Source organism: Homo sapiens, chromosome 7 (assembly GCF_000001405.40).
Source record: "Homo sapiens chromosome 7, GRCh38.p14 Primary Assembly".
Classification (NCBI taxonomy): Eukaryota; Metazoa; Chordata; class Mammalia; order Primates; family Hominidae; genus Homo; species Homo sapiens.
In genome coordinates, this window is record NC_000007.14 from 8,095,688 (window position 1) to 8,110,675 (window position 14,988).

At 43.0% G+C, this 14,988-nt stretch overlaps 1 annotated feature.

Annotated features, from left to right (window-relative positions):
* Window positions 8,970–9,516: an enhancer, noted in NCBI's record as "NANOG hESC enhancer chr7:8144287-8144833 (GRCh37/hg19 assembly coordinates)". NCBI's record gives its function as "activates a minimal SCP1, AML or CMV promoter by ChIP-STARR-seq in naive H9 embryonic stem cells {active_cell/tissue: H9 hESC(naive)}" and the evidence as "EXISTENCE:reporter gene assay evidence [ECO:0000049][PMID:30033119]".

Here is a 14,988-nt window from a genome sequence, read left to right on the forward strand (position 1 = left end):
AACAGAAGGCAGGTGATTTCTGCATTTCCAACTGAGGTACCCAGTCCATCTCATAGGGACTGGTTGGACAGTGGGTGCAGCCCATGGAAGGTGAGCCAAAGCAGGGTGAGGTGTCACCTCACCTTGGAAGCAGAAGGGGTTGGGGAATTTTCTCTTCTACCCAAGGGAAGCCATGAGGGTCTGAGCCTGAGGAACTCCGGCACAGATACCGCACCTGTCCCACAGTCTTCACAACCCACAAACCAGGAGATCCCCTCCAGTGTTTACACTACCAGGGCCCTGGGTTTTAAGCACAAAACTGGGTGGCCAACTGGGCAGACACCGAACTAGCTGCAGGAGCTCTTTTTTTTTTTTGAGATGGAGTCTTGCTCTTGTCTCCCAGGCTGGAGTACAATGGCACGATCTCAGCTCACTACAACCTCTGCCTCCCGGGTTCAAGCAATTCTCCTGCCTCAGCCTCCCAAGTAGCTGGGAATACAGGTGCCCACCACCACACCTGGCTAATTTTTGTATTTTTAGTAGAGACAGGGTTTTGCCATGTTGGCCAGGCTCGTTTTCAACTCCTGACCTCAGGAGATCCACCCGCATCAGCCTCCCAAAGTGCTGGGATCACAGGCGTGAGCCACCATGCCCAGCCTCTTTTTTTTTTTTCTATACCCCAGTGGCGCCTGGAATGCCAGTGAGACAGAACTATTCACTCCCCTGGAAAGGGGTGCTGAAGCCAGGGAGCCAAGTGGTCTGCACCTCAGCGGGTCCCACCCCCATGGAACCCAGGAAACTAAGATCCACTGGCTTGAAATTCTCACTGCCAGCACAGCAGCAATCTGAGATTCACCTGGGACTTTTGAGCTTGGTGCAAGGAGGGGTGTCCACCATTGCTAAGGCTTGAGTAGGTAGTTTTTAAGGTTACAGTGTAAACAAAGCTGCTGGGAAGTTCAAACTGGGTGGAGCCCACTGCAGCTCAGCAAGGCTGCTATGGCCAGTCTGCCAGATTTCTCCTCTCTAGACAGGACATCTCTGTGAAAAAGGCAGCAGCCCCAGTCAGGGGCTTATAGCAGACTTAAACGTCCCTGCCTGAAGTCTCTGAAGAGAGAAGCAGACCTCCCAGCACAGCATTCGAGCTCTGCTAAGGGTCAGACTGCCTCCTCAAGTGGGTCCCTGACCCCCGTGTATACTAACTGGGAGACCCCTCGTACAGGAGAGCTCTGGCTGGCATTGGGCAGGTGCCCCTCTGGGTTGAAGCTTCCAGAGGAAAGAACAGTCAGCAATCTTTGCTGCTTTGCAGCCTCCGCTGATGATACCCAGGCAAGCAGGATGGGGAGTGGACCTCCAGCAAACTCCAGCAGACTGGCAGCAGAGGGGCCTGACTGTTAGAAGGAAAAGAAACAAACAGAAAGGACTAGCACATCCACTGAAAGACCCCATCCAAAGGTCACCAACATCAAAGACCAAAGGTAGATAAATCCACAAAGATGGGGAAAAATCAGTGCAAAAAGCCTAAAAATTCCAAAAACCAGAATGCCTCTCCTCCTCCAAAGGCTCACAACTCCCTGCCAGCAAGGGAACAAAACTGGATGGAGAATGAGTGTGATGAACTGACAGAAGTAGGCTTCAGAAGGTGGGTAATAACAAACTCCTCCAAGCTAAAGGAGCATGTTCTAACCCAATGCAAGGAAGCTAAGAACCTTGAAGAAAGGTTAGTTGAATTGCTAACTAGAATAACCAATGTAGAGAAGAACATAAATGACCTGATGGAGCTGAAAAACACAGCACAATAACTTCGTGAAGAATACACAAGTATCAACAGCCAAATCGATCAAGCAGAAGAAAGGATAAAAGTGAGTGAAGATCAACTTAATGAAATAAAGAGCGAAGAAAAGATTAGAGAAAAAAGAATAAAAAGGAACGAACAAAGCCTCCAAGAAATATGAGACTATGTGAAAAGACCAAATGTACATTTGACTGGTGTATCTGAAAGTGACAGGGAGAATGGAACCAAGTTGGAAAACATTCTTCAGGATATTATCCAGGAGAACTTCCCCAAGCTAGCAAGACAGGCCAACATTCAAATTCAGGAAATACAGAGAACACCACAAAGATACTCCTTGAGAAGAGCGACCCCAAGACACATAATTGTCAGATTCACCAAGGTTGAAATGAAGGAAAAAATGTTAAGGGCAGCCAGAGAGAAAGGTCAGGTTACCCACAAAGGGAAGCCCATCAGACTAACAGCAGATCTCTCTGCAGAAATCCTACAAGCCAGAAGAGTGAGGGCCAATATTCAATGTTCTCAAAGAAAAGAATTTTCAACCCAGAATTTCATATCCAGCCAAACTAAGCTTCATAAGTGAAGGAGAAATAAAGTCCTTTACAGACAAACAAATGCTGAGAGATTTTGTCACCACCAGACATGCCTTACAAGAGCTCCTGAAGGAAGCACTAAACATGGAAAGGAACAATCAGTACCAGCCACTGCAAAAACATACCAAATTGTAAAGAACATCAACATTATGAAGAAACTGCATTAACTAATGGGCAAAACAACCAGCTAGCATCAAAATGACAGAATCAAATTCACACATAACAATATTAACCTTAAATGTAAACAGGCTAAATGCCCCAATTAAAAGACACAGACTGGCAAATTGGATAGAGTCAAGACCCATCAGTGTGCTGTATTCAGGAGACCCATCTCACATGCAAAGACACACATAGGCTCAAAATAAAGGGATGGAGGAATATTTACCAAGCAAATGGAAAGAAAAAAAAAAAACAGGAGTTGCAATAAGAAACAGACTTTAAACCAACAAAGATCAAAAGAGACAAAGAAGGGCATTACGTAATAGTAAAGGGATCAATACAATGAGAAAAGTTAACTATTTTAAATATATATGCACCCTATACAGGAGCACCCAGATTCATAAAGTTCTTAGAGACCTACAAAGAGAGTTGGACTCCCACACAATAATAGTGGGAGACTTTGACACCCAACTGTCAATATTAGACAGATCAACAAGCCAGAAAATTAGCAAGGATATTCAGGACTTGAACTCAGCTCTGGCCCAAGCAGACCTAACAGACATCTACAGAACTCTCCACCCCAAACAAACAGAATAATACATTCTTCTCAGCACCTCATCACACTTATTCTAAAATTGGCCACATAATTGGAAGTAAAACACTCATCAGCAAATGCAGAAGAATGGAAATCATAACAAACACTCTCTCAGACCACAAGAGTAATCAAATTAGAACTCAGGATTAAGAAACTCATTCAAAATCGCACAGCTACATGGAAACTGAACAACCTGCTCCTGAATGACTACTGGGTAAATAATGAAATGAAGGCAGAAATAAAGATGTTCTTTGAAACCAATAAAATTGAAGACACAATGTACCAGAATCTGTGGGATGCATTTAAAGCAGTGTTTAGAGGGACATTTATAGCACTAAATGCCCACAAGAGAAAGGAGGAAAGATCTAAAATTGACACCCTAACATCAAAATGAAAACAACTAGAGAAGCAACAGCAAACAAATTCAAAAGCTAGCAGAAGACATGAAATAACTTAGATCAGAGCAGAACTGAAGGAGATAGAGACATGAAAAACCCTTCAAAAAAAAAAAATCAATAAATCCAGGACCTGCTTTTTGAAAAAAGTCAACAAAATAGACAGTCTGCTAGCCAGACCAATAAAGAAGAAAAGATCTAAGACCCAAATAGAATAGAATGAAATACACACAATAAAAAGTGATATAGGGAATATCATCCCTGATCCCACAGAAATACAAACTACCATCTATAAGCACCTCTATGCAAATAAACTAGAAAATCTAGAAGAAATAGATAAATTTCTGGACACATACACCCCCCACGTCTAAGCCAGGAAGAAGTCGAATCCCTGAATAAACCAAAAACAAGTTCTGAAATTGAGGCAGTTATTAATAGCCTAACAACCAAAAAAAGTCCAGGGCCAGATGGATTCACAGCCAAATTCTACCAGAGGTACAAAGAAGAGCTGGTACCATTCCTTCTGAAAGGATTCCAATCAATAGAAAAAGAGGGACTCCTCCCTAACTCATTTTATGAAGCCAGCATCATCCTGATACCAAAACCTGGCAGAGATACAACAAAAAAAGAAAATTTCAGGCCAATATCCCTGTTGAACATCGATGTGAAAATCCTCAATAAAAGACTGGCAAACTAAATCCAGCAGCACATCAAAAAGTTTATCTATCCATCACTATCAAGTTGGCTTCATCCCTGGGATGCAAGTCTGGTTCAACATATGCAAATCAATTAATGTAATTCATCACATAAACAGAACCAATGACAAAAACCACATGATTATCTCAATAGATACAGAAAAGGTATTTGATAAAATGTAACAGCCCTTCATGCTAAAAACTCTCAATAAACTAGGTATTGATGGGATGTATCTCAAAATAATAAGAGCTATTTATGACAGACCCACAGCCATTATACTGAATGGGCAAAAACTGGAAGCATTCCCTTTGAAAACTGGCACAAGACAGGGATGCCCTCTCACCACACCTACTCAACATAGCATTGGAAGTTCTGGCCAGGGCAATCAGGCAAGATATATATAAAGCAATAAAGGGTATTCAAATAGGAAGAGAGGATGTCAAATTGTCTCTGTTTGCAGATGACATGATTGTATGTTTAGAAAACCCCATCGTTTCAACCCAAAATCTCCTTAAGCTGATAAGCAAGTTCAGCAAAGTCTCAGGATACAAAATCAATGTGCAAAATTACAAGCATTCCTATGCACTAATTACAGACAGAGAGCCAAATCATGAGTGAACTCCCATTCACGATTGCTACTAAGAGAATAAAATACCTAGGAATCCAACTTACAAGAGAAGTGAAGGACCTCTTCAAGGAGAACTACAAACCACTGCTCAAGGAAATAAGAGAGGACACAAACAAATGGAAAATCATTCCATGCTCATGGATCAGCAGAATCAATATCATGAAAATGGCCATACTGCCCAAAGTAATTTATAGATTCAATGCTATCCCCATCAACCAACCACTGACTTTCTTCACAGAACTGGAAAAAAACTACTTTAAACTTCATATGGAACCAAAAAAGAGCCCGCATAACCAAGACAATCCTGGGCAAGAAGAACAAAGCTGGAGGCATCACACTACCTGACTTCAAACTATACTACAAGGCTAGAGCAACCAAAACAGCATGGTACTACTACCAAAACGGATATATAGACCAATGGAACAGAACAGAGGCCTCAGAAATAACACCACACATCTACAACCATCTGATCTTTGACAAACCTGACACACACAAGCAACGGGGAAAAGATTCCCTATTTAATAAAAGGTGTTGGAAAAAACTGGATAGCCATATGCAGAAAACTGAAACTTCCTTACACCTTATACAAAAATCAACTCAAGATGGATCAAAGACTTAAACATAAGACCTAGGGCCATAAAAATCCTAGAAGAAAACCTGGGCAATACCATTCAGGACATAGGCATGGGCAAGGACTTCATGTCAAAAACACCAAAAGCAATGGCAACAAAAGCCAAAATTGACAAATGGGATCTAATTAAACTAAAGAGCTTCTGCACAGCAAAAGAAACTATCATCAGAGTGAACAGGTAACCTACAGAATGGGAGAAAATTTTTGCAATCTATCCATCTGACAAAGGGCTAATATCTAGAATCTACAAATAACTTAAACAAATTTACAAGAAAAAAACAACCCACCCCATCAAAAAATGGGCAAAGGATATGAACAGACACTTCTCAAAACAAGACATTTATGCAACCAACAGACATATGAAAAAATGCTCATCAACACGGGTCATTAGAGAAATGCATATCAAAACCACAATGAGATACTATCTCCTGCCAGTTAGAATGGCGATCATTAAAAAGTCAGGAAACAACAGATGCTGGAGAGGTTGTAGAAAAATACGAACGCTTTTACACTGCTGGTGGGAGTGTCAATGAGTTCAACCACTTCAGAAGACAGTGTGGTGGTTCCTCAAGGATCTGGAACTAGAAATACCGTTTGACTCAGCACTCCCATTACTGGGCATATACCCAAGGATTATAAATCATTCTACGATAAAGACACATGCACACGTATGTTTATTGCATCACTATTCACAATAGCAAAGACTTGGAACCAACCTAAATGTCCATCAATGATAGACTGGATAAAGAAAATGTGGCACATATACACCATGCAATACTATGCAGTCATAAAAAAGGATGAGTTCATGTCCTTTGAAGGGACATGGATGAAGCTGGAAACTATCGAACTATCACAGGATCAGAAAACCAAATACCGCACGTTATCACTCATAAGTAGGAGCTGAACAATGAGAACACATGTACACAGGGAGGGGAGCATCACACACCAAGGCCTGTCGGCGGGTGGGGGGCTAGGAGAGGGATAGCATTAGGAGAAATACCTAATGTAGGTGACGGGTTGATGGGTGCAGCTAACCAACATGGCACGTGTGTAACTGTGTAACAAAGCTGCCCATTCTGTACATGTAACCCAGAACTTAAAGTATAATAAAAAAAATTTTAAGGAAGAAAAAAAAATCCACTTTTTTTTTTTTTTTTTGAGACGGCTGGAGTGCAGTGGTACAATCTCGGCTCACTGCAATCTCCGCCTCCTGGTTTCACGCCATTCTCCTGCCTCAGCCTCCCGAGTAGCTGGGACTACAGGCACCCGCCACCATGCCCGGCTATTTTTTTTTGTATTTTTATTAGAGATGGGGTTTCACCATGTTAGCCAGGATGGTCTGGATCTCCTGACCTCGTGATCTGCCCGCCTCAGCCTTCCAAAGTGCTGGGATTACAGGCGTGAGCCACCACGCCTGGCCCATCTACATTGTTTTTTTACAAAAAATTTAAACATCATTCTTATCAGTTCTGAGAATAGTGGGAGCCCTCAAAAAAAAAAAAAAAAAAAAAAAGAAAAAGAAAAGAAAAGAAAAACATGTCTACATGAAAACCAAGTACACAAACGTTCATAGCAGCATTGTTCATAAGAGTCCAAAACTGGAAACAATCCAAATGTTCATCAGTTGATGACTGCATAAATCAAACGTGTCCTATCCATACAATTGTTATTCAGGAATAAAAAGGAATGAAGTACTGATACCTGCTCCACATGAACAAGCCTTTAAAACATTATGCTAAGTGAAAGAGGCCAGTCACAAAAGACTGCATACTCTATAATCCCATTGATATGAAATGTCCATTATAGGAAAATTTGCAGAGACAGAAAGTAGTAGTGGTTGCCAGGGTCTGGGGTAGGCCGAAATAGGGAGTCACTACTACTAAGTACAGGCTTTCTTTTGGGAGTAATAAAAAATGTTCTGGAATTAGATAATGGTAATCGTTGCGTGACCTTGTAAATGTACTAAAAGCTACTGAATCATATATTTAAAATGGTAAATTGTATGGTATGTGACATGTATTTTAATTTAAAAATTCACGTATGCAAAGAACCTATGCCATAGTATAGTTAAGAGGATGAAATGGGCTTATGTGCACATAGCACAGTGCCTGGCATAGAGTGACTACTCCATGGACGATAGCTATTTTTATTTTTCATAGTCCATGTAGGGTCAGAGTGAAGAGAATAAACACACAAAGGTGGTTCATAGCTCAAGGCCATTCATCCAACAGGAGGGTGGCCTACTTCCTTCCTCTGTTGTCTTCTGTTTTCCTGGGTTTCAGTACGTGAAGCAGTCAGGCGCCCGACCACACTGATAGCCTGTGGAAGAGGCCAGAGTACGCGCACTCGTTCTCCACCGTCTTCCCTGCTCATCGTGATCCTGTGTGCCCAGTTCTCCTCACCCTGCCCAGACCTGAAAAGCAAGGCCAGGACACCAGGGGACTTCAGGCTTCAGCCTTGGCCCATTCCTGTCTTTTCAAGGTGCTTTCTCTTTAACCACACACCTGGTTTGTAGGGCAGAACAACTAGGCTGCTTGGCTCTGGGCTTCTCACCACAGGTTCACCGTATAAGCCCAAGATCAAGAAGCAAGGGCTCCCTTCAGGGCTGCTTCTGAGGGCAGGTAACAGATGGGTGGCAAACTACAGGTAGCCAGAGCTTAGGCTAGTGTGTTGTCAGGATTTGTTCTCTCCCTGCTAGTTTCTTCCTTTCTAGCTGGAGCCAAAGTCACAGCTTACCCAGGATGGCAGCTCCTATTGGCAAGACAAAAATACACCTCAGTTTGACTGCTGAGGCCCACACATGGCCAACTCAACCATTAAGGGCAAAGAGAGAGGACCAAGAACAAAATGGCTGTTACTTCCCTGTGGTGGGAAAAGGGACCAGAGGAACCTCCAGCTTGCCTACACGTTTGCTGTGGGCTGTTAGCGCTCACGAGAGGTTTCAAGCACTTTGGTGCCCTCTGCATCAGCACGAATCCTATGATGAGCACAACTTTTCTGACTTGTTTTGTTCATCCACCCCTTTGAGAATATATGGAAGCTCTAGACCATTTCATCAAGTTAAATATCCACACAGGTGCATTTTCACAAAAACTTACATATCTCAGAGGATGTACAGAACCATTGAGGCCAAGGGCTCCATAAATCTCTGGACCAGAATAGATTTTATTGGAACAGATCAGAAAGAGTTTATAACCCAGCCATCAGAAATAGCAGTGAATTTCTGGAAGAGAATAGAAGCAAGGGTGTTGACCTGTCAAGTGCTGTGTATGTCCTAGGAATGCCTTCTGTTTGTGCCATGGACGGAAGACAGCGGAGGAAACTCTCAGTGCAGAACAGATCCTTGGGGTGCCACAGTTCAGGGCCAGATATATCAGCAAGAAGACACCTCATACCAAAATGAATAAACAGTTCCCTGTGAAGTAGCTGGGGAAGGAAGCCCCAGAGGGCTGATAGATAACCCAGCCTGGGCTGAGGAGGCATTCCTAAAATTAGTTGCCTCCTCACTGGCTGGCAGAGGGGGGCCTGGGTGTAAGACCCTGTCTTAGTCTGTTGTCACATTTCTATAAGGAAATACCCAAGACTGGGTAATTTATAAAGAAATGAGGTTTAATTGACTCACAGTTCCTCATGGCTGGGGAGGCCTCAGGAAACTTACAATCACGGGGTAAGGCACCCCTTCTCACAAGGCAGCAGGAGAGAGAATGAGTGCCAGCAGGGGAAATGCCAGATGCTTATAAAACCCTCAGATCTTGTGAGCACTCACTATCACGAGAACAGCATGGGGGGAACTGCCCCATGATTCAATTAGCTCTTACTAGGTCCCTCCCACCACATGTGGGGATTATGGGGATTAGAACTCAAGATGAGATTTGGGTGGGGACACAGCCAAACCATATCAGACCCTATCTGGTTTTAGAGGTTTCCTGAACAGTTCCAATCAGCTCTCTACTAGGACAAATCATGAAGAAGTTGCCCCCGCTAATAATGAAGCCAGTACTTACCCAACACTGAGATGGTGTCAGCAGCTGCATCCCAACAATAGAAGAAGGGACATCCAGTGGTCTGGATATTCTACTGAAATGCTCCAAGAGTGACAGGCAATAGGAGCAGGGTGGGGGATGGGGAGGAAGACATTGATAGAGAGAGCTTGAGGGGCTCCAGAATTTGACTGAGTTTAATCATGTTGTCAAGGAGAATGCCTGCTGGTTCAATGACTGTGGCTAAATGCTTGAGAACTCTAGAGCAAGCACTGGGACATGTTGAGAACAGTGGGGCCCTCAGATCAGTTTCTTACCAATTATCTGAGGATAGGACATAGGTGTTTATTTTGTATTAAGGCCAAAGATTCTATTTTCAGAGGAGAGTACAAAGAGGTGCAACTGATCAAAGAAACTTAGAAAAACAGCTGAAGTGGAGCCATGCTCAGTCCTCACGGGGCAGTCCTTACAGAGATTCAGTACCCTGGGCTGGTTGCATGGTCCACCCACTCTAGCTGTGCACCCCTCTGCTGCGTGTCTTTTCTGTGCCCCTCTGCCCTGGTTGCTCAGAGTTTCCTATTACTCAAGACTCCTATTGCTCTATAGTAACTGTGCATTGCTTTTGCTTGTATTGGTATCTCTTGCTTTTATAATTGACAAACTGTTTCATATTATCACCAGCTAAGAATCAAATGAGAGTGAATATGATAAACTCTGAGTCTTCTCTTGGTGAAAAGTGATTCCGCAAGGCCTACCACATTGGCTTCCTGAGCTAGTCAGCTGAATGCAGGAGGTCCTGTGGCTCACAGCATGACTTCCTTGCCCAAGACTGTTTCTCCTGGCAAAATGGGAGCCAGGATTGCTTAGAAGTGGGGGACGTGGAAATGACAGTCATCTTGAATTTTGGTCTTTTTGATACATTCACTTGGAATGTTTCCAACCTCCTGTAAGAAGACAACTGCCAGTATTACAAGACCCTTGTCTACTAAAAGCAAAACTGCACACAAAGAAAACCCTACTGTAAAGCATGTTTTCTTATGTCCTTTGAACAAAGTAGACTTTATTGTTGCAAAGTTTGCAACCCATTTTAAAGACCAACAAACTTTATAAGAGACGATAGTGCTAAAGAAATAGTCCATCTATCTGATCCCACTTCCCAGGCCCTTGCAATTAGGCAGGGCCATGTGACTGGTTCTGGGTACTGGAGGGAAGAGAAGTGTGCCCTTTCTAGGATGAAGGATAAAACAGCCAATGCGTGACTCTCAGCTCAGCTTTTCCTTGTGGCTGTGATGGAGAGATTCCTGTGTTTTATGTGATCAGCTGTAGGCCAGTGATGCCTTTGTCAGCTTGAGCACCTGAGGATTTGTGGGGCAAAGCCCACTGAGCTACATTGGAAATAGAGCACAAAAGGGAAAGGAAGCAAACTTCCTCGTTTTAAATCACAGGGATGTTGTGGTGATTTTGCAAAACATAACCTGGCCTGTCCTGACTTTACACAGAAGGATGCTGGCAGATCCCCGCAGGAGGACACCGGTGTGAGTAGCACTGTCTACCTTGGAGCTGGAGGCCAATGAGACTCCCTAATCTACAACTCAGGCTGAGTCTCTCAGCTTCAGGTAACGTCTCAGAGGTTTGTCTTCCCCGTACTGCTGGCATCCCTCTGTGGAGGACCCAGAATCCAATTTCTTTTTTCTTTTTTTTAGCATCATACTTATTGAGGCATAATTTACACACAGTACAATTTCCTCTTTTTAGTGTACACCTGTATGGGTTTTGACAGATGCATACAGTCATGGAACCACCAACACAATCAGTCTACAAAGAGTTCCATTATCCCCCCGCCAAATTCTCTTGTGTCCCTTTGGAATGAACTCTTCCTCTAACCTCAGACTTGGGCAACCACTGATCTGATATCTGTCCTTATAAGGTTTTTTCCAAAATGTCATACATATGGAATCACACAATATGAAGGTTTTTTTTTTTTTTTTTTTTTTTTTTTTTTTTGAGACGGAGTCTCGCTCTGTTGCCCAGGCTGGAGTGCAGTGACGCGATCTCGGCTCACTGCAAGCTCCGCCTCCCGGGTTCACGCCATTCTCCTGCCTCAGCCTCCCAAGTAGCTGGGACTACAGGCACCGGCCACCATGCCCGGCCATTTTTTTGTATTTTTAGTAGAGACAGGGTTTCACCGTGTTAGCCAGGATGGTCTCCATCTCCTGACCTCGTGATCCACCTGCCTCGGCCTCCCAAAGTGCCGGGATTACAGGCGTGAGCCACCACGCCTGGCCGCCATTTTTTTTTTAATCAGCTTTTTATTTTAGAATACTTTGAGACTTACGGAGAAGTTGCAAAGATAGCACAAAGTTCCCATATGCCCTTTACCCTGCTTCCCATATTGTTCACGTTACATAGCTTGTCAAAATTAAGAAATTAACATTTCTACAATACTATTATACTATATCTACTATTATACTATACTATACTATATAAAGCATAGACTTTATTTGGATTCACCAGTTTTTCCAATGACGTCCTTTTTCTGTTTTGGGATCTAATCCAGGGTCCCCCAACTTAGCATTAAGTTGCTGTGGCTCTTTAGTTTCCTCCCATCTGTGGTTTCTCAGTGTTTTCTTGTTTTTCATGACCTGGACACTTTTGAAAGATACGTATCAGGTATTTTGTGGAATGCCTCTCAATTTGGGTTTGTTTGATATGTTCTGACACCAAGCTTGGGGTTATGAATTTGGGGAGAGAATAGCACAGAGGCTAAGTGCCCGTCCCACTGCATCATGGCAGGGGGGCACATGATATTGCTGTGGATTATCATGGTGTTGTATCAATATTCATATTTGCCACTAAATAATATTCCATTGTATGCACATACCACATCAATTGAAGGACATTTGCGTGCTCTCAGTTTGGGAGATTATGAATAAAGCCGATACACACATTCACATACAGGTTTTTGTGTGGATATCCCTTTTTCTTTCTTTCCCTTCAGGGTGAATTCCTACGTGTGGGATTGCTGGGTTGTATGGTAAGCATGTGTTTCACTTTCTGTGACACTGCCAAACTGTTTCCCCAAGTGGCTTCCATGTTAACATTCCCATCAACAATGCATGAGAATTTTAATTGCTCTGCATCCTGATTTCTGTTCATCAGTGTTCCAATTAGTGATTTGTTCTCAAGATACCTTTAAGATTGGTGAGTTTTGTAATGTGTCCCTTTTGTCTGTGGACACAAGAATCCACTTCATATCTCCTAGTCTTACCACAGAATTTTGTCCAGCTTTATGGAAAAATCAGGGGCAACTTATTCAATAGACTTTCTAGTCCTGTCCTCCTCCCTCCATTCCCATAATATTTATGAATGAGGTAATAAATGATGGGAACAGAAAAGAGAGCCTGGCATGTCTTATGCAAGGTAATTCATTAGGAGAGGGTAGGAATTTTTTTTTTTTTTTTTTTTTTAGATGGAGTCTCACTCTTGTTTCCTAGGCTGGAGTGCAATGGTGCAGTCTCAGCTCACTGCAACCTCTGCCTCCTGGGCTCGAGCGATTCTCCTGCCTCAGCCTCCCAAGTAGCTGGGATTACAGGTACACACCACCACACTTAAATAATTTTTTTGTATTTTTAGTAGAGACGGGGTTTCACCATGTTGGGCAGCTGGTCTTGAACTCCTGACCTCAGGTGATCCACTCACCTCAGCCTCCCAAAGTGCTGGGATTACAGGAGTGAGCCACCATGCCCAGCCACATTTTTAAAATTTAGTTAAAATTTCAAAAATTGACAAATAGCTGTATATATTCATGGGCTACATAGTGATGTTTCTATCCGTATAATGTATAGTGACTACATCAGGGTAATCAGCATATCCATCATCTCAAACATGTATCATTTCTTTGTATTGGGAACATTCAATATCCTCCCTCTAACTATTTTAAAGTATATGTTATTGTTAACTACAGTCAGCCTTCAGTGCTATAGAATACCAGAACTTATTCTATCTAGCTATAATTTTGTGCCCTTTAACTAATCTCTCCCTTCCCCCTTCCAACATTTTACCAAGAGAGTGAACTTTGGTGGCACATTTCTCCACACTTGAGTGTTGCTGTGTGCAAGTACAATGCTAAAGTCTTTGGGGACATCAACTCAATCCTTGTAATGACTCCAAGTGGCAGGAAATGTTACTATTCCTATTTTATGGATGAGAAAACAAGCTTGAGAGGGTATATGACTTAGAGCAGGCGGAGCCCAGTTGGCCACAGATTTGTCTGGCTTCAGAGCAAACTTACCAACTGTCCTAAATGCTTCTCCTGGATGCTATCCCCAAAGGATGTACTTAATAACTAACTTCTGAAAAATGAAAATAAAAGCAGTCATGAAGGACAGGAGTTTTCCCTGTTTTTGCATTTGAATTGCTTTCTACAACTTTTAATTTCTAGCAAACACTTAAGAAGCATTGGCCTGGGAGTCAGTCCTGGAAAACCAAGACTAGTAACCACAGGAATGTGATTACTCGTCTTGGGTTTCCTTAACTTTAAACCTAGTTCTCCACGTCCCTTTGGTCTCCTCAGTTTCTTCACATAGATATGAGCAGGTTGGAAGCAAAAAGCTCTAGGACTCCTTTTGTGATTCCATGAAGTCAGCAGGAAGGTCAGTATTCTCAATGGGCCACTAAGAGCTCCAAGCTTCCAGCCCCAGTGCCTGCTGGGGAGTGGCCTCATGGCACAGGTGGGAGGCGCCTAATAGGGGGGTTTTTGGAAACCACTGCAGTTCTTTAACAACCCTGTTTCATAGCCCTCTGGAAAGACTGGAAAAGCATTTCCTGAAAGTCCTCCACTGGAAACTAGAGTGGCTGTCTTGTATTTTCCTGCCTAACATCCATTTTTTTTTCTTTCTCTAGTAACAGCATCCCAATTCTGCCTTAAGGAACTTTCTCTATTCTTGGTCCTTGAGGGTGAGACTCCAGTGCCTGAAAAGCTGGGCACACAGCCCATTTCCCACCATGACTACTATGGTTTGAATATATCCCCCAAAGTTCATGTGTTGGAAATTTAATTGCCATTGCAACAGTATTAAGAGGTGAGGCTTTAAAGAGGTGATTAGTCCAAAAAGGAGAATCTCCACCCCTTTCCCAGAAAACTCATGAATAATCCACCCCTTGTTTAGCATATAATCAGGAAATAACTGTAAGTATACTCAGTCAAGCGGCCCATGCCACTACTCTGCCTATGACTCGAGTAGCCATTCCTTATTCCTTTACTTTCTTTTTTTTTTTTTTTCTTTTGAGATGCAGTTTTGCTCTTTCACCCAGACTGGAGTGCAGTGGAGCAATCATGGCTGACTGCAACCTGCGCCTCTCAGATTCAAGCAATTTTCCTGCCTTAGCCTCCTAAGTAGCTGGGATTACAGGTGCCCGCCACCACGCCCAACTAATTTCTTTTAGTAGAGACGGGATTTCACCACGTTGGCCAGGCTGGTCTCAAACTCCTGATCTCAGGTGATCTGCCCACCTCAGCCTCCCAAAGTGCTGGGATTACAGGC